The sequence below is a fragment of the Homo sapiens genome, chromosome 2 (genome assembly GCF_000001405.40).
Source record: "Homo sapiens chromosome 2, GRCh38.p14 Primary Assembly".
Classification (NCBI taxonomy): Eukaryota; Metazoa; Chordata; class Mammalia; order Primates; family Hominidae; genus Homo; species Homo sapiens.
In genome coordinates, this window is record NC_000002.12 from 232,392,299 (window position 1) to 232,411,777 (window position 19,479).

The following is a 19,479-nucleotide window of genomic DNA, read 5'->3' on the forward strand; positions in this document are numbered from 1 at the left end:
AGCTAGACATCCCTTAAGAAATTCTATTTGGGGTGGCTGGACATGGTGGCTCATGCCTGTAATTCCAGCACTTTGGGAGGCTGAGGCAGGTGGATCAGCTGAGGTGAGGAGTTCGAGACAAGCCTGGGCCACATGGCAAAACCCCATTTTTACTAAAAAAAAAAAAAAAAAAAATTAGCTGGGGCTGGTGGTGTGCACCTGTATTCCTAGCTACACAGGAGGCTGAGGCAGGAGAATCACTTGAACCAGCGGGGGCAGAGGCTGCAGTGAGCTGAGATCATGCCACTGCACTCCAGCCTGGGTGACAGAGCGAGACTCTGTCTTAAAAAAACAAAAAAAGAAAAAAAAGATAAATTAAACTTGTTAAAATATATAGTGAGCAGGGCATGGTGGAGCATGCCTGTATTCCCAGCTACTCAGGGGGCTGAGGCAGGAGGATTACTTGAGACTAGGAGTTCGAGGCCAGCCTGAGCAACACAGCAATACCCCATCTCTAAAAAAAATATGTATGTAGGCCGGGTGCAGTGTCAAACGTCTTTAGTCCCACCACTTTGCGAGGTCAAGGTGGGTAGATTGCTTGAGCTCAGGAGTCCCAGACCAGCCTGATCAACATGGCAAAACCCCATCTCTACAAAAAAAAAAAAATACAAAAATTAGCTGGGCTTGGTGGCGTGTGCCTGTAGTCCCAGCTAGTGGGGAGGCTGAGGCAGGAGAATCACTTTAATTCGAGAAATAGAGGCTGCAGTGGGCTGTGATTGCACCACTGCGCTCCAGCCTGGGTGACAGCGAGACCCTATCTCAAATATATATATAATATATATATATAAAACATATATAATATATATTACATATATTATATATACACACACAGATATATACACACACATATCTATGTATGTATATGCATACATGTATACACACATACATATATAAATACATGTATACATATATAACATAAAAATGAACCCAAATACCTTTTAGTTCACATGATCTAACTATATCTTTGATAAATAGGCTAGTTTTAAATGTGTTGATAAAATAAAAATAAAATATATTTAGCACCTTCTTTTCTTTCTTTCTTTCTTTGTTTCTTTTTTTTTTTTTTAGGCAGAGTCTTGCTCTGTCACCCAGGCTGGAGTGCAGTGGTGCAGTCTCGGCTCACTGCAACCTCCACCTCCTAGGTTCAAGGAATTTTCATGCCTCAGCCTCCTGAATAGATGGTACTACAGGCACGCCTCCCCACCCCCGGCTAATTGTTTTGTATTTTTAATAGAGAATGGGCCTTGCCATGTAGGCCAGGCTGGTCTCGAACTCCTGGCCTTAAGCGATCCACCCGCCTCGGCCTCCCAGAGTGCTGGGATTACAGGCGTGAGCCACCGTGCATGTCCATCTTTAGCGTTTGCAGTGTACATTTTCCACTGGGTTTGCGGGTCAGATGGGATCATATGTGTCTCTGCTAGATGCCTCAAGGTTATAAAACCTTAAACCCAACCTAAAAACAAAGTGATCTTTGTTTGTGGAGTTCTTTGATAAATAAAACTAATTTAGTATTGCTACTTTAATGAAAATAGCTCTGTCTTACAAGTTACTGGCAAAATATCTATTTATTTAATTTTAAGATTCTTAGGTGAACATCTGAGAGTCACAGGCTACAAAAGTTGTGAACAGGAAAAAAACCTGAAATGACGACTAGCTTTGTGTAATATCTCAGTATTCAAAATTAATGGGGATATAGTTGTTAAAAATATAAATTAGGTAACTGTAAATGGCATAAATGTCTATAAATAAGCTTTTCATAGAATTTGAGATTTTTTTGTTTGCTTGCTTGTTGTTTGTTTTTTGGCAGATTCTCTCACTGTGGCCCAAGATGGAGTGCAGTAGTGCGATATCGGCTCACCGCAACCTCAGTGCGAGTGATTCTCTTGACTCAGCCTGCCAAGTAGCTGGGACTACAGGCATGTGCCACCATGCACAGCTAATTTTAGGGTTTCACCATGTTGACCAGGCTGGTCTCGAACTCCTGGTCTCAAGAAATCCTCCCCTCTTGGCCACCCAAAGTGCTGGGATTACAGGTGTGAGCCACCGCGTCCAGTCGGAATTTGAAATCTTTTTTTTTTTTGAGATGGAGTTTCTCTCTTGTTGCCCAGGCTGGAGTGCAATGGCATGATCTTGGCTCACCAGAACCTCGGCCTCCTGAGTTCAAGGGATTTTCCTGCCTCAGCCTCCCAAGTTGGGATTACAGGCATGCACCACCAAGCCCAGATAATTTTTGTATTTTTAGTAGAGATGGGGTTTCTCCACCTTGGTCAGGCTGGTCTCGAACTCCCGACCTCAGTTGATCGGCCCGCCTCGGCCTCCTAAAGTGTTGGAATTACAGGCAAGAGCCACTACACCCAGCCAGAATATGAAATCTTAAAGTCAGGTTATGTTACATTAAGTGACAGATACTCATTAAATATAGGGGTCATTTCCAAATAAGACACAAAAACATAAATTGCCGAACATAAATATAAGTGTGTTTGTGGCTTCTTAAAATCTGATAGAACTACCAAATATATTGGGGTTGTACTGATACACATAAAACAGTGATGTTTCTAAAATTATAAACGGTTTTCATCTGTAAAATACTGATATGTGACGGTCAGTTGGCCAACATGGCGAAACCCTGTCTCTACTAAAAATACAAAAACTAGCTGGGTGTTGTGGCGGGTGCCCATAATCCCAGCTACTGGGGAAGCTGAGGCAGGAGAATCACTAGAACCCGAGAGGTGGAGATTGCAGTGAGCTGAGAGCATGCCATTGCACTCCAGCCTGGGTGACAAGAGCAAAACTCCATCTCAAAAAAAAAAAGAAAAAAATACTTTTTTCTTTTGCTAGCTGGTTTTTCACTAGAAATTAAGGTTGCTAAGAGTTAAAAATTCTAATTAATCTATACAATTCCGTGGACCAAGTGTACCAAAAAAAAGATGCATTTTTGACAAGAAAAATTATTTAAAATGTGTAAAAGCATGTTTTTGCTTTATTTGGTATTGTTGTATATTTAAAATTATTTGAACTTTTTATAAATTAAGAAAAATAGAGATAGGAGTCTGCTATGCTGCCCAGCCTGGTCTCGAATTCCTAGGTTCCAGTGATCCTTCTGCCACAGCCTCCCAAACTGTTCAGATTGCAGGTGTGGGCCACTGCACCTGGCCAAAATGTGTTATTCACGGAAATAAAGGAATAATTTTGTCTAATTTGGAGATTATATAATGTTGTCTCAAAATATGGATGTATGAACTAAATAAAAACAAGACAGAAAGGAACCAGTAAGTAGGAGAGAGATGTGAAGAATGTTACAGGTATGAAGATATATTTTTGGTAAAAACAGTTAAAAAAAAAAAGAATTCGGAATGACAAAGGATCTTGTGTGGTAAATTTTCTGTCCTAAATAAAACAACTTATTAATTAAGAAAGGGGAAGTTTAGGTCAAAGCAGAGGTCTAAGCATGTCATGGAATTGCTAAGTCATGAAAGGTTTGTGAAGGATGAATTTGTGAAAGAAATTTTTGTATGTGATCAGGTTGGCTAAAATTAGAAGGAAATTATTTATGAGTCTAAGGATTGAGCTTTCATATTAAAACTACACTGAGGCTGGGCACAGTGGCTCATCCCTGTAATCCCAGGACTTTGGGAGGCCAAGGTGGGTGGATCACTTGAAGTCAAGAGTTGGAGACCAGCCTGGCCGACATGGTGAAACCCCATCTCTACTAAAAATACAAAAGTTTGCCGGGCATGACGGGACATGTCTGAAATCCCAGCTGCTCTGGAGGCTGAGGCAGGAGAATCGCTTGAATTTGAATCTGGGAGGCAGAGGTTTCAGTGACCCAAGATTGTGCCACTGTACTCCAGCCTGGGCAACAGAGTGAGACTCCATCTCAAAAAAAAAAAAACCTACACTGATATTGTCCTCTTATGGCTCTAGAAGGAAAAAAAAAAAAAGGAGAAGAAAGAAAGAGAAAGAAAAAGAAAAAAAAAACTACTCTGATTAAAAAACCAAAAATTTGCGGCCGCGTGTGGTGGTTCATGCCTATAATCATAGCATTTTGGGAGGCTGAGGCGGGCAGATACCTTGAGGTCAGGAGTTCGAGACTAGCCTGCTCAACATGGGGAAGCCTCGTCTCCACGAAAAATACAAAAATTAGCTGGGTGTGTTGGCGGGTGGCTGTAATCCCAGCTAGCTGGGAGGCTGAGGCAGGAGAATTGCTTGAACGTGGGAGGCGGAAGTTGCAGTGAGCAGAGATGACGCCACTGCACTCCAGCCTGGGTGACAGAGTGAGGGTCTTTCTCAAAAAAGAAAAAAAAAAAAAATACCTAAAAATTTGGTCCCCTGTGTTAGTACAACAAAGTTTTCTTGAAGTATAGATCAGCTCTTAGAAAATCTAAAAGAGTTATTAATTTTTACTTCTGAAATATATTTCACATCTAAACTAAAGCTTTCTTTTCTTTTCTTTTTTTCTGAGACAGGGTCTCGCTCTGTCATCCAGGTTACAGTGCAGTGGTGTGGTCTTGGCTCATTGCCACCTTGACCAACAGGGCTCAAGGGATTCTCCTGCCTCTGCCTCCTGAGTAGTTAGGACTACCACCTACTGTGCTAACTTTTTTGTGTGTGCCACCACAACTGGCTTTTTTATTTTTGTATAGACAAGGTCTATGAAAATTCCATCATTGCATCATTGGATAAAACTCTTAGAAATCTAATATTTCACTGGGGATTTCACTCCACGATTACATTGTATGTCACAGAAATAACCAAACTTCCTTGTCAATTACTAATTACAATAAACTATCATCAGATTTTTTTTTTTTAAATATAAGTAGAGACTCTCTTTCTGTCACCCAGGCTGGAGTGCAGTGGCACAATCATAGCTCACGGCAGTCTTGAATTCCTGGGTTCAAGTGATGCTTCCGCCTCAGCCTCCCGATTAACTGGGACTTTAAGTGCATGTAACCATGCCTAGCTAATGTTTTTATTTTTTATTTTATTTTATTATTTTTATTTATTTATTTATTTTGAGATGGAGTCTCGCTCTGTCGCCCAGGCTAGAGTGCAGTGGGGCATCTCGGCTCACTGCCAGCTCTGCCTCCCGGGTTCACGCCATTCTCCTGCCTCAGTCTCCTGAGTAGCTGGGACTACAGGCGCCCGCCACCACGCATGGCTAAGTTTTTGTATTTTTTTTAGTAGAGACGGGATTTCACCGTGTTAGCCAGGATGGTCTCAGTCTCCTGAACTCCTGATCCTCCCTCCTCGGCCTCCCAAAGTGCTGGGATTACAGGCGTGAGCCACCGCACCCGGCCATGTTTTTATTTTTTATGCAGATGAGATCTTGCTATGTTGCCCAGGCTGGTCTGCATTTCCTGGTCTGAAGCTGTCCTCCCAAAGTTCTTTCCAAAGTTCTAGGATTGCAGGTGTGAACCTCCATGTCAGGTCTGAACTTCAATCATATTTTTAAGAATGGCTATTCAAAGTCTCTGTCATCCACAGTGTTGTCCTTCCCTAAAAACGTTTCCAATCAGATTCATGGTAAAGACATTACCAAGTACTCTTAGGACAAGTTTCTGATAACTTTAAGATCAAAGGACTAGGCTTGCTCCGTGGCTCACGCCTGTAATCCCAACACTTTGGGAGGCCGAGGCGTGTGGATCACTTGAGGTCTTGAGGTCCGGAGTTCAAGACCAGCCTGGCCAACATGGTGAAACCCCGTCTCTCCAAAAAAAAAAAAAAAAAAAAAAAAGACTTAGCTGGGCATGGTGGCAGGTGCCTGTAACCCAGCTATTCAGGAGGCTGAGGCAGGAGAATCGCTTGAACCTGGAAGGCAGAGGTTGCAGTGAGCCGAGATCACGCCACTGCACTCCAGCCTGGGTGATACAGCGAGACTCAGTCTCACAAAAAAAAAAAAAAAAATCAAAGGACTAAATAAAATTTTTTTCAGAACACAAGTGAAAAAACATGAATTTGTGAAACAACTAATCAAGATCAGACAGAACAAAAATTAACGACATGAAGTTAAGTAACCAGTGAAAATCTGTGCTTTAAACAGAAAGCTTAAACAGTGCTTAAATCAGTGTTTAAAACAGAGAGCTATGACCTAAAGAATAATTACAGAATTGAACACTGAAGAAACCACCACCCGGATCAAGAAATGGACTATGACCAGGATCTCCCCACCCCACCCCATACCTTCCCTGTTCATAATTCCCATTCCTTTGTCACCAAAGGAAACTGAGTTGTTGGGTTTGTTTGTTGGTTTTTGTTTGTTTATTTACAGACAGAGTCTTGTTCTCCCACCCAGGCTGGAGTGCGGTGGCAGCATTGTAATTCACCGCAGCCTCACACTCTGGCTCAAGTGAGCCTCCCAACTCAGCCTCGCAAGTAGCTGGGAGTACAGGCATGTGCCACCACACAAAGCTAATGTTTAAATTTTTTCTAGAGATAGAATCTCCCTATGTTGATCAGGCTGGTTGCAAACCCCTGGGCTCAAGCAATCTTTCTTACCTTGGCCTCCCAAAGTGCTGAGCTTACAGGTATGAGTCACTGCACCTGGTCTCCCTGAATTTTTTGATACTCATTTCCTCTTCATAGTTTTATCCCTCATATAGTTTAGTTTTGCCTAATTTCAACTTTATATACATAAAAGATATGTTGGATCCTATGTATTCTTTTGTGATTTGCATCTTTTGTCCAGCTTTATGTCTGTGAGATTCATTTAATCTGTTGCATATTACAACTGGTTATTTCCATTGCTGTATACGATTCCAATCATGAAACAATTGACTTTTTATCTTCTCTCTTTTTGTCTTTTTGAGACAGAGTCTCCCTCTGTCGCCCAGGCTGGAGTGCAGTGGCACGATCTCGACTCACTGCAACCTCTGCCTCTCAGGTTCAAGAGATTCTCCTGCCTCAGCCTCCTGAGTAGCTGGGATTACAGGTGTGCACCACCACACCTAGCTAATTTTTGTATTTTTAGTAGTGATGGGGTTTCACCATGTTGGTCAGGCTGGTCTCGAACTCCTGACCTCATGATCTGCCCGCCTCGGCCTCCCAAAGTGCTGGGATTACAGGCATGAGCCACCGTGCCCTGCGACATTTTATCTTTTCTGTTGTCAATCAACATTTGGGGCTGTTTCCATGTCTGGCTATTTAAACAATGCCACTTTGTACACGTTTGGTGCTTTCCTCCTGGACATGTGCCAAGTTTCTCCAGGACACCTACCCAGGACAGAATTGCTGTCTCGTGGGATGTGCACAGCTCAACATTCAGAACGCTGCTCCTATTGGTTCCTCCACTTCCTGCCAGCTCCCCAGGGATGGACTTTTAAATCTTGGCCAGTCTGGGATCTGGGACACCACCCCACCCAGTGTGGTCTCTTCTACATTGGTAGACACCTTTTCACACACGTTTATTGATATTTCTTCTTTTTCTGTTTTTCTTTTTCTTCCTGAGACAGGGTATCCCTATGTCACCTGGGCTGCAATACAGTGGCTCAAACATGGCTCACTGCAGCCTCAATCTCCTGGGCTCAAGTGATTCTCCCACCTCACCCTCCAGAATAGCCAAGACGAAAGGTGTGCACCACCACACCTGAGTAATTTTTTAATTTTTTGTAAAGACAGGGTCTCTCCATGTTGCCCAGCCTGGCCTCAAAGGATCCTCCAGCCTCATCCTCCCCAAGTGCTAGGATTACAGGCCTGAGTTAGGAAACCAGGGCGAATTGTAGCGAGGATTGCTTAAGGTCATCATAAGAAGAGCATTGAAAGAAACTTCCCACTACACAGCTATCAGAACGGCTGAAATACAAAATATGACAACACCAGATGCTGGCAAGTATGCTGAAAAAGTCACTCAGCTTGCTGGTGGACACGTAATGGTACAGCCAATCTGCAAAACAAGCTGGTAATTTCTCCAAAAACTACACATGCAACCAACATACAGCCCTGGCCATTTATCCAAGACAAATGAAAACACATGTTCACTCAAAAACCTACCCATGAATGCTCATAGCAGCTTTATTTATAAAAGCCAAAACTGAAAGCTGCTCAAGCTTCCTTCAGCAGGTGGTTGGTTAAACACACTGTGGTGCTTCCATCCCGTGAAATAGTGCTCAGCACTACGGAGGAGCCAGCTGCTGGCACACGCTTGGATGAAGCTCCAGGAAGTTATGTTAAGTGAAAAAAAACGCCCTTCCCAAGAGATCACACATTGTTTGTTTGCATTGATGTAACTTAGTTGAAATGACAAAATATTAGAGACACAGGATGCATAGCAGATTGCCAGGGATTAGGGACAGGGGAAGAGGTGGAGGAAAGAGGTGACCTGGTTATAAAAGTGACCCTGTGGGGTTGGAGCTCTTCAGTATCTCAACTATGGTGCCGTTACACACAAACCTACTTGGGTGATAAAATTGTATACACACTCCCACACATATGCACACGAGTACAGGTAACACTGGGGAAATCTGAATAATAACTGGGGATTACGTCATTGAGGGAAACTAAGCAAAGTGCACAAGGCATTTGTCCTTCCTTCCTTCCTTCCTTCCTTCTTTCTTTCTTTCCTTCTTTCTTTTTTTTTATTGAGACAGAGCCATGCTCTGTAGCCCAGGCTGGAGTGCAGTGGCATGATATCGGCTCACTGCAACCTCTGCCTCCCGAGTTCAAGTGATTTTCCTGCTTCAGCCTCCTGAGTAGCGGGGAATTACAGGCTTGTGCCACCACACCCGCCTAATTTTTGTATTTTTAGTAGAGACAGGGTTTCACCATGTTGGTCAGGCTGGTCTCAGACTCCTGACCTCGCAATCCACCCGCCTCGTCCCAATGTGCTAGGATTACAGGTATGAGCCACCACGCTTGGCCAAGGCCATTCTTTTATTATTTTTCTTCCTTTCTTTTTCCTTTTTTTGAGATGTTTTCTCACTCAGTCACCCAGGTTGGAGCGTGGTGGTGCAATCTCGGTTCACTGCAACCTCTGCAGCCCAGGCTTAAACCAACCTTCCACCTCTGCCTCAGGAGTAGCTGGTACCACAGGCACACGCCACAATGCCTGGCTAATTCTTTGTATTTTTTTATATAATTGGGATTCTGCCATATTGCCCAGGCTGGTCTTGAACTCCTGAGCTCAGGTGATCCACCCACCTCGGCCTCCCAAAGTGCTGCGGTTACAGGCTTGAGCCACCGTGCACAGCCTGCTTGTATTATTTCTTACTATTACGTGTGAATCTACAGTTTGTCAAAAATTCCAAAAGGAAACTCGGGCCAGGCAGGGTGGCTCAGGCCTGTGATCTCAGCACTTTGGGAGGCCGAGGTGGGCAGATCACGACATCGGGAGTTTGAGACCAGCCTGGCCAACATTGTGAAACCCCGTTTCTACTAAAAATACAAAAATTAGCCAGGCATGGTGGTGCCCGCCTGTAATCCCAGCTACTCAGGAGGCTGAGGCAGGAGAATCATTTGAACCCAAGAGCCGGAGGTTGCAGTGAGCTGAGATCATGCCACTGCACTCCCGCCTGGGCAACTGAGCGAGACTCAGTGTCAAAAAAACAAAAACAAAAACAAATACGAAACTCGGCTGGGTGCGGTGGCCATTGTCTGTAATCCCATCCATTTGGGAGGCTGAGGCGGGCAGATCACATGAGGCCAGGAGTTTGAGACCAGCCTGGCCAGCATGGTAAAACCCCATCTCTACTAAAAATACAAAAATTAGCCGGGCATGGTGGCGGGAACCTGTAATCCCAGCTACTTGGGAGGCTGAGGCGGGAGACTCACTTGGACCTGGGAGGTGGAGATTGCAGTGAGCCAAGATTGTGCCACTGCACTCCAGCCTTGGCAACAGAGTGAGACTCCATCTAAAACAAAGTAAATAAAAATTTAAAAAATTTAAAAGAAATTAGCCGGGCGTGGTGGTGCACACCTGTAACCCCACCTACTCGGGAGGCTGAGGTGGGAAAATCGTTTGAACCTGGGAGGCAGAGTGTGCGGAAGATGGCGCCACTGCACTCCAGCCAGGGCGAGAGAGTGAGACACCGTCTCAAAAAAAAAAAAAAACACCGAACAAAATACAAAACAAAACAAAACCAAACCTCAGGATGGCTGGGAAAGCTCCTGACTGGCTTTGCCTTTGGAGTGAATCAATCAATCAATTAAGGGCGTGCCTGTTAGTGAGTCTCCTCTGACCTTTAGCCAAGAATGTTCCGAACTCAGCAAGATGAAGCAGGAGGTAGAGGGAACTAAGGGGGCAACAAGCAGGAGACAGGAAGGGCCCATGAGGGTGACATCTTCCCTGAGAGGTCCAGGACAACCAGCAGGAAGTCAGGCGGGTGCAGGCAGGAGGACCCAGGAAAGCTCGGCCTGAGGGAGGCCCTAGGTGTGGTGGGGAGTGGGGTAGGGCAGGCAGAGGCTGGGCAGCAGGTGAGGTCCCCTGGATTCTGGGGGCCAAGCCTGGGGCTTGAGGTAAACAGGCCTGAGTGGAGAAGGGGCTGCTGTGGTTGGGCTGGGGTGGGTGGAGCTGGAGGAGCCTTTTCTTCTTGGACCAAATTTTGAATTGTGCTACATAACATGGTACATCAGAGTTACCTCCTTCACCATTTTCAAGTGTTCAGTACACACACATTGTTGTGCAGCTGATTTCCAGAACGTTCTCATCCTGCAACCCTGAAGTTCTGTCCCTATTAAACTCCAACTCTAACCCTAACCCGAACCCTACCCTAACCCTAATCCATTGCCCCCTCCCCCAGTCCCAGGTAACCTCCATTCCACTTCTGTCTCTATGAATTTGACTCCTCTAGGGACCTCAGAGAAGTGTGTTCATATGCATTTGCCCTTTTTGTTATTGTTTTTAAGAATCTTATTTTACAGGAGACGGTATTTGTCCTTTTGTGACTTTCATATTTCACTAGGTGTAATGTCCTAACCGTCCATTCACGTTGTAACAGAGTCTTCTCCAGGGCCTCCTTCAAGGCTGCATGATATTTCGTTGGGTGGATGACCCCATTTGGTTTCTTCTACCTTTTGGGTATATATATATATGCACATATATAACCCAGGCTGGCCTGGAACTCATGAGCTCAAACAATTCTCTGACTTGGACTCCCAAAGACTGGGATTACAGGTGTGAACCACCATGCCCAGCCATCCTTTTGGTTATTCTGGTTTTCAAATTTTTTCCCAATTTTATTAAGACTGTGATAAACCAGCCAGGCATGGTGGCTCATGGCTGTAATCCCAGCACTTTGGGAGGCCAAGGCGGGCAGATGCCTTGAGGTCAGGAGTTCAAGACCAGCCTGGTCAACATGATGAAACCCTGTCTCTATTAAAAATACAAAAAATTAGCTGGGTGTGGTGGCTTGCACCTGTAGTCCCAGCTACTTGGGAGGCTGAGGCAGGAGCATCACTTGAACCTGGGAGGCAGAGGTTGCAGTGAGCCGAGATCACACCACTGCACTCCAGCTTGGGTGACAGAGTGAAACACTGAAAAAATGTCTTTCGAAAATGAAAAAAAAAAAATACTGTTATAAACCCTTGGATTGAAAAAGTTTATAATGATAACTTCTACAGTGTAAAAAATAAAAAAGTAAAAAGAGTTAAAAAATAAAAATAAATAAATAAAATTATCAATGAACCCTAATCAGAATAAATATAAAGTTGAAAAACACACTAAACAAATCACTATATCATTCAGGAAAACATGCATATGTGGTAAAAAGCAATCAACAGCAAAGTCAAGATTAACCAAAATACAGGATAGTCATTACCTCTGGGGAGAAAGGTGGGAGACTCAAAGGCTTTAAATCTTTTTCTCAAAAAGATTTATCCCTACAGAGTAAATAAGGGTTTATTTTTGTTATTCATCTTTAAATGGAACAGATGGAAAACATTTTTTTGCATGACCACAACAAATGGAAAATATATTAATGAAGTTCAGTCACTCTTCTGTTTTACTCATAATAACAGAAGCCAGAAACCTGGGAGTTACCTTTGACCACTCCCTCACCAACCAAGTCCAATTAATTTTCACTTCTAATCACACCTATAATACCAGCACTTCGAGTGGCGGAGGCGGGCAGATCACTTGAGACCAGGAGTTTGAGACCAGCCTGGCCTTGATGGTGAAACCCCATCTCTACTAAAAATACAAAAATTAGCCGGGCATAGTGGCTCATGCCTGTAATCCCAGCTACTCAAGAGGCTCAGGCAGAACTGCTTGAATCCCGGAAGCGGAAGTTGCTGTGAGCCGGGATCACACCATTGCACTCCAGCCAGGGTAACAGACCAAGACTCAGTCTCAAAAAAAAAAAAAAAAAAGATCACTTTCTATTCTTCCCCACCCACAACACCAAACCCTGGCCCCAGCCACTTTGATTCTCACCAGGAACCCAAATCCCTCCCTCTTCCTTAACACCCCCGCTCTAATCCAATCTCCACACAGCAGCCAAAGCCAACACTTTAAACATGATTAACTCTGTCTGTCTTCAACTTGAATCTCCCTCACTACCCTCCTTTTCTATCAGAAGCAACAGAGAGACAAGTAAATTGCCCAAGGCCACACAGCAGGACATGGCAGAGACAGGATTCAGAATCTACTAGTTTTGACAGTCCACATGTCTCACCCACCCACTATCCCATTTTGGGTGATCCCAGAAAAGGGTCAGCCACTGCCCTAACACAGGGTAATCTCAGACAAGGACAGAGGATTTCTCCTCCAATCACCACTTCCCTTCCTTTATCAGCCTAACTCCCAGTTATCCCTAATTCTCAGCTCAAACCACACTTCCTCTATTTTTTTTTTTTTTTTTTTTGAGACAGAGTCTTGCTCTGTCGGCCAAGCTGGAGTGCAGTGGCGCGATCTTGGCTCACTGCAAGCTCCACCTCCGGGTTCACACCATTCTCCTGCCTCAGCCTCCCGAGTAGCTGGGACCACAGGTGCCTGCCACCACGCCCGGCTAATTTTTTGTATTTTTAGTAGAGACAGGGTTTCACCGTGTTAGCCAGGATGGTCTCGATCTCCTGACCTTGTGATCCACCCGCCTCGGCCTCCCAAAGTGCTGGGATTACAGGCGTGAACCACTGTGCCCGGCCTTCAAACCACATTTTCTAGGAAAGGCCTTCCTAGGCCCCTTGTCCTATTCCAGCAACTCCCCACAATTTGATGGCCAGCACTTTGTACATCTCTAAAAACATTCCTCTTCCACTAGATTGTGCCCTCCACAAGGGCAGAGGTCTGTTTTGCCCACGATTGTGGCACATGTCACACACCCTTGAGCACTCTGGTTCCTCTCCAAATCCATTTCTCCTGAATGTGGGCCCAGATTGGTGGCTCAAGTCTGGAACCCTAGCAGTGTTGAAGGATCGCCTGAGCCCAGGAGTGCAAGACCAGCACGGGTAACAGAAAGAGATCCTGACTCTACACAAATTTTTGAAAATTAGCTTCACATAATGGAAGATACACGGGAGGCTGATGTGGGAGGATCGCTTGAGCCTAGGAGGTGTGGCGTGAATGCACCACTGCACTCCAACTTGGGTGACAGAGCCAGCCCCTGTCTCAAAAAAATAAATAAATAATAATAATAAAACAGAAAGAAAAAAATGATGGCAAGGTATCTGAACTGCAGAAATACTTTTTAACTCAGCCTGAGGCTATCAAAACATCTGATCCCCATGTGAAAGGCTACAGTTCTGGGCATGCTCAGGGCCCACCGAAAACAGAGTCCGCCCAGGCACCCTCTGCCTGTGCAAGGGAACAGGTGTCACAATCAAGTGCACAAGCTGCTCTGGAAGACCCAGCCCAGGCCTGTCTGGCCGAGGGCACTGGACTCTCCCCCACTGCGTCGTCCAAACATTAGTGCGAGTGCACCCACACAAACACATACACAATCAAACACAACATGTAAGCAATGGGCAGGACTGGCCCGGCCCCACTCAGTGTTGTCACCATTGGCCCCACAGATGCCCACAGCCCTGGAGCTCTGGGCCTAGATTCCTGCCAGCCCCACCTGTCCAGGCCAAGGCCAGATGTTGGAGCAAGGGGGTGCCAGAGCGGCAAAGCCCCCCATGTGCCCCTTTCCCACCGGGCCCAGGCTCCTGGCATCAGAAAGCTGAACCCAGTATCTGGCCCGGGCTGTGTGCTTCCAGCCTCCCCTCCTCTCGACACCAGAACAGAGCCTGGCCCCCAGCTCCCAGGAAATACAGAAAAAAAAAATGGTGGATGAACGAGTGACAGGGTGTCTAGTTCCACACAAGACACAGTGAGCAGGGGTTGGGGGAGGGGCCCCTGGCGGCAGGATGCACACTGCACTATACCCAAAATCCCACCCTTCCCTGGGGGACACCTGGTCCCACCCTAAGCTGCCTTTCTCAGGACCCCAGCCCCAGCCCAGCCCAGCCACACCCTGCCACTCCCTTCAGCCAGTGTGGCTTCAGGTCAAGAGGCTGGGCGGGGTCAAGGTGGTAACAAGGGGAGGGGCCAGGACACAGTTTTCCCTGATTTAAACCCAGGCAGCCTGGAGTGCAGCTCATACTCCATACCTGGGATTTCCGCCTCGCCGCTCTCCGACTGCTTCCAGACATGCAGGGGCCCTGGGTGCTGCTCCTGCTGGGCCTGAGGCTACAGCTCTCCCTGGGCATCATCCCAGGTAATGAGGCTCCCCCAGCTGCCCCTACACACACACACACACACAGGGCACCCCCCAGCCCAGGCTGACCTGATCTTTGCTCTCCCCCTGGCCAGTTGAGGAGGAGAACCCGGACTTCTGGAACCGCCAGGCAGCCGAGGCCCTGGGTGCCGCCAAGAAGCTGCAGCCTGCACAGACAGCCGCCAAGAACCTCATCATCTTCCTGGGTGACGGTGAGTGAGCCAGGCCTTCCAGCCCCGCAGCCCTCACAGCCCCGGCGCCCGGACCCTCAGTGGTTCCAGGACAGCCCTGGGGAGCAAGCCTCACACACTTCTGCTCCTTCAGGGATGGGGGTGTCTACGGTGACAGCTGCCAGGATCCTAAAAGGGCAGAAGAAGGACAAACTGGGGCCTGAGACCTTCCTGGCCATGGACCGCTTCCCGTACGTGGCTCTGTCCAAGGTAAGTGCTGGGCTACCTTAGAGTCCTCCAAGCAGAGAAGGGGAATCCTGGCTATGGAGTGTGGTAGGAGGGAGGGACCCTAAACAGCTGGGGCTCCAATAAGGAGCTGGAGGCAGTTGGAATCCCAGAGGACAGAGATCAGGGTCTTGTTTGTCTGCCCCAGAGAAGAGCTCAGAGTGTCTCTGTCCCCAGACATACAGTGTAGACAAGCATGTGCCAGACAGTGGAGCCACAGCCACGGCCTACCTGTGCGGGGTCAAGGGCAACTTCCAGACCATTGGCTTGAGTGCAGCCGCCCGCTTTAACCAGTGCAACACGACACGCGGCAACGAGGTCATCTCCGTGATGAATCGGGCCAAGAAAGCAGGTGAGCTGGGGCCCGCTGTGGGGTCAGGGCCAGGTGACAGACCTCTATCGCATATCCTGACCTCTATCACCCTCAGGAAAGTCAGTGGGAGTGGTAACCACCACACGGGTGCAGCATGCCTCGCCAGCCGGCGCCTACGCCCACACGGTGAACCGCAACTGGTACTCGGATGCCGACGTGCCTGCCTCGGCCCGCCAGGAGGGGTGCCAGGACATCGCCACGCAGCTCATCTCCAACATGGACATTGATGTGCGACCCCCGGGCCAAGGGCTGGGGCTGGGCAGAGAGTAGCAGGGAGGGGGCACCAGCTCAGACCCAGGCAACCAAAAGCCTTATCTGGGCCAGCAGGGTCTGGAGGTGGGGTTGGGGGCGTAGAAGGCGCAGCCCAGGCTGGGCCATTCCCACAGCCTTGGGGAGGGGAGTCAGGGGCTGTGCATGAGGAGGGGACACGGGGCCAGCCAGGCCCCCAAATCCACCTGCCCCATCCTCTGTTCCCAGGTGATCCTAGGTGGAGGCCGAAAGTACATGTTTCCCATGGGGACCCCAGACCCTGAGTACCCAGATGACTACAGCCAAGGTGGGACCAGGCTGGACGGGAAGAATCTGGTGCAGGAATGGCTGGCGAAGCACCAGGTGATGGGGGCTGGTGGGTGTGCTGGGCACAGCAGGGGGAGGGCAGAGGTGTGGGGCTCGGGGCTGTGGGCTGAGGCCTGGCTCTCTCCCTCCCCGCAGGGTGCCCGGTACGTGTGGAACCGCACTGAGCTCCTGCAGGCTTCCCTGGACCCGTCTGTGACCCATCTCATGGGTAATGACCCCCTTCCTGCCCTGGCATCCCTCAGATGGCCTCAGATGGCACCTTCTGAGCCTGTGTGCACATCCGCCAGCACCCTCCCACCCCCAGCCTGCCAGTCACCACAGGACCCCTTGTCCCACAGGTCTCTTTGAGCCTGGAGACATGAAATACGAGATCCACCGAGACTCCACACTGGACCCCTCCCTGATGGAGATGACAGAGGCTGCCCTGCTCCTGCTGAGCAGGAACCCCCGCGGCTTCTTCCTCTTCGTGGAGGGTGCGTGGTGGCCCCTGGGGAGTGGGGGTTGGGGGTTGGAGCAGGGCAGGCTCAGCATCTCCCCCCTCTGGCCTTCCTGCAGGTGGTCGCATCGACCATGGTCATCATGAAAGCAGGGCTTACCGGGCACTGACTGAGACGATCATGTTCGACGACGCCATTGAGAGGGCGGGCCAGCTCACCAGCGAGGAGGACACGCTGAGCCTCGTCACTGCCGACCACTCCCACGTCTTCTCCTTCGGAGGCTACCCCCTGCGAGGGAGCTCCATCTTCGGTAGGCCTGGGGAGAGTGGCAGGTGCTGCTGCAGCAATTAAGTGGGTGAAATCTGAGCCTCAGTCTCCTCCTCTGTCAAATGGGAGTAATGCTGGCACCAGCCCTGTAGGGTCTCCTGCGGACTAAGCCCCTGACCAGGCAAAACGTGGCGGTGCCTAGCACGTGGGAGACACTCCACAGCTGTGTTCAGCTCAACCACAGGGACCCCTCTCTCTGCAGGGCTGGCCCCTGGCAAGGCCCGGGACAGGAAGGCCTACACGGTCCTCCTATACGGAAACGGTCCAGGCTATGTGCTCAAGGACGGCGCCCGGCCGGATGTTACGGAGAGCGAGAGCGGTGAGTGCCGTGGGGTGGCCCCCTGAGGGGGACCAGGGTGCCAAGGATGGGGGGCTGGCGGGAAGGGGTCACCTCTTGTCTGCCTGGAACTGAAACTTCCTACTGAAACTGAACCCTCCAACCAGGGAGCCCCGAGTATCGGCAGCAGTCAGCAGTGCCCCTGGACGGAGAGACCCACGCAGGCGAGGACGTGGCGGTGTTCGCGCGCGGCCCGCAGGCGCACCTGGTTCACGGCGTGCAGGAGCAGACCTTCATAGCGCACGTCATGGCCTTCGCCGCCTGCCTGGAGCCCTACACCGCCTGCGACCTGGCGCCCCGCGCCGGCACCACCGACGCCGCGCACCCGGGGCCGTCCGTGGTCCCCGCGTTGCTTCCTCTGCTGGCAGGGACCTTGCTGCTGCTGGGGACGGCCACTGCTCCCTGAGTGTCCCGTCCCTGGGGCTCCTGCTTCCCCATCCCGGAGTTCCCCTGCTCCCCACCTCCAGTCGTCCTGCCGGACCTCCACCTGGAGCTGTCACCCCCGGAGTCGCCACACAGACGTCCTGCCATGGAACCTTCCCCTCCCGGTGCACCCTGGGGACCGAGCCCTTGACACCACGCCCTTTGCTTTATCTTGCTCTTGAAATTTTGGCCCCAACTCCAGGGACTGGGGATTTGTGCCTGGCAGCTGCCTGCATTTCAGGAAAAGAGGAGGCTCAGACCATCCAGCCCCCGCCCATATCCTGAGGTGGATCAGGCAGGCTCTCTCCCCGGGGACATGAGGCACCCATACCTAGGACCCCCTGCGCCTTTTTTAGCTTCAGTCATGGCAGCACCTGAGGGACACAAGGACTTGGGTGCATCAGGACGCCTTGGAGAAGCGTGGCTTCCTGCCACCCTGCAACCCACCCTCCCAGCCAAGGAGGCTGCTGTGGTGGGGATCCCCAGGGGGGCTTTGACACAGTCCTCTGCTGTCCCTCCACTGGGCTAATTCTACACCCCTGTGCCCCTCCTAGGGGCCCATGAGTCAGAGAGGCTTGCCCCAAGTCACAGCCACTCAGATGTTCGACGCCCCCTAAGGTCCATTCCAGCACCCACCTGAGTTCCGAGGAGCACCTGGGAAGCTCTGGGTGCAGGATAGCAGTCCAGAGTCCATGGCCCCGCCTAGGCCATCTGGGTGCTGGGCATGGATTTCTCAGCAAGGAAGACTCATTACCTTCCCTCCCTGGGCCTCCATTCTTCTGGGAAACACAAAGCAATAATAAAAGGAAGTGTTAGACAATGTAATGCCAGTACTACTTCCTAGCATAAAAATCATGACTGAATGTGGACACAGTGGCTGGAGGGGTGGATAACACAGGCCAGGAGGGGCTGCTGAGGAGCAGATGACTGAGCAGGAGACCTGAACAGAGTCGGGGCTTGAGCAAGGTGGCACAGCAGCACAAAGGCCCTGGGGCAGTGTCAGCAGGCTGTCTGGGAGGCCAGGGGCTGGATCAGAGGGTGGGTAGATGGGGTAAAGCTTGAGGGGTCAGGAGGGTGGGGGACATGGGGGACCGTGAAGTCTAGGTAGAGGGGTGTGGTTGGAGGTCTTTGAGGAGGGCTGTGACCTGCCCTGGCTGGGAAATGAGCACTCTGGCTGCTGCCAGGAGAAGGGTCTGGTCTTTTGGATAGAGGGTGGGGGTGGTGGAGGGTAGAGGTGAGAGCTGGGGAAGGAGCTGACTCCAGGTGTTTCTGACCTCCCTCCGAAAGCATTCTGGAGCACCCATCCCAATACAGCCATACTTAGTATCACACTTGCCCCAAGAGAACATTGAAAAGAATTAAATGAAGGTGAAATCAACCACATTTTCCAGGAAAGTTTACATTATTACAGATTTATTTGTACATTTACAATGGTACAAGGAGCACTTTGTCAACATGGTGAAATTCTGTCTCTACAAAAAATACAAAAATTAGCCAAGCTTGGTTGCCCATGTCTGTGGTCCCAGCTACTCAGGAGGCTGAGGTGGGAGGATTGTCTGGGGCCTGGGAGGGTGGAGGCTGCAGTGAGGTGCGATCACGTCACTACACTTCAGCCTGGGTGACAGAGCAAGGCCCTGTCTCAAGAAGAAAACAAAACAAAAAGACTTTGTACTCACTAGAAATACTAGAATGATTGAATACTTCTTTATGAAAATTGAATTAACATTGTAAGACGTCTATTTGCCAGGCATGGTGGTTCAATGCCTGCAATCCCAGCACTTTGGGAGGAAAAGAGGTTAGGATTGCTTGAGTTCAGGAGTTGCAGACCAGCCTGGGCAAATGGTGAGACCTCACCTCTACACGTTTTCGTTTAGTGTTGAGGCAGAGT

At 49.2% G+C, this 19,479-nt stretch overlaps 1 protein-coding gene across 1 annotated transcript, besides 3 other annotated features; it reads left to right on the forward strand.

Moving 5' to 3' along the window:
- On the forward strand, positions 14,546-18,416 carry ALPG (alkaline phosphatase, germ cell). Its single transcript, NM_031313.3, has 11 exons — positions 14,546-14,663; positions 14,759-14,875; positions 14,988-15,103; positions 15,296-15,470; positions 15,547-15,719; positions 15,969-16,103; positions 16,203-16,275; positions 16,406-16,540; positions 16,623-16,814; positions 17,034-17,150; positions 17,276-18,416. The coding sequence occupies exons 1-11, from the start codon at positions 14,597-14,599 to the stop codon at positions 17,572-17,574; spliced, it is 1,599 nt and encodes a 532-aa protein (NP_112603.2). The 5' UTR covers positions 14,546-14,596; the 3' UTR covers positions 17,575-18,416.
- Positions 14,610-15,809: an enhancer, noted in NCBI's record as "BRD4-independent group 4 enhancer chr2:233271618-233272817 (GRCh37/hg19 assembly coordinates)". NCBI's record gives its function as "activates an origin of replication core promoter dependent on BRD2, P300/CBP, MED14 and CDK7 cofactors, and independent of BRD4, by STARR-seq in HCT116 cells {active_cell/tissue: HCT116}" and the evidence as "EXISTENCE:reporter gene assay evidence [ECO:0000049][PMID:35650434]".
- Positions 16,172-16,672: an enhancer, noted in NCBI's record as "H3K4me1 hESC enhancer chr2:233273180-233273680 (GRCh37/hg19 assembly coordinates)". NCBI's record gives its function as "activates a minimal SCP1, AML or CMV promoter by ChIP-STARR-seq in naive H9 embryonic stem cells {active_cell/tissue: H9 hESC(naive)}" and the evidence as "EXISTENCE:reporter gene assay evidence [ECO:0000049][PMID:30033119]".
- Positions 16,673-17,173: an enhancer, noted in NCBI's record as "H3K4me1 hESC enhancer chr2:233273681-233274181 (GRCh37/hg19 assembly coordinates)". NCBI's record gives its function as "activates a minimal SCP1, AML or CMV promoter by ChIP-STARR-seq in naive H9 embryonic stem cells {active_cell/tissue: H9 hESC(naive)}" and the evidence as "EXISTENCE:reporter gene assay evidence [ECO:0000049][PMID:30033119]".
- Positions 18,417-19,479: the final 1,063 nt, after the last annotated feature.

What these genes read in the sequence shown, in the direction of transcription:
- ALPG (NM_031313.3), top strand. Translation starts at nt 14,597, where the DNA reads ATGCAGGGGCCCTGGGTGCTGCTCCTGCTGGGCCTGAGGCTACAGCTC. An exon ending in CATCATCTTCCTGGGTGACG is followed by an intron (nt 14,876 to 14,987) that starts GTGAGTGAGCCA and finishes CTGCTCCTTCAG; the next exon opens with GGATGGGGGTGTCTACGGTG. An exon ending in TGTTACGGAGAGCGAGAGCG is followed by an intron (nt 17,151 to 17,275) that starts GTGAGTGCCGTG and finishes CCCTCCAACCAG; the next exon opens with GGAGCCCCGAGTATCGGCAG.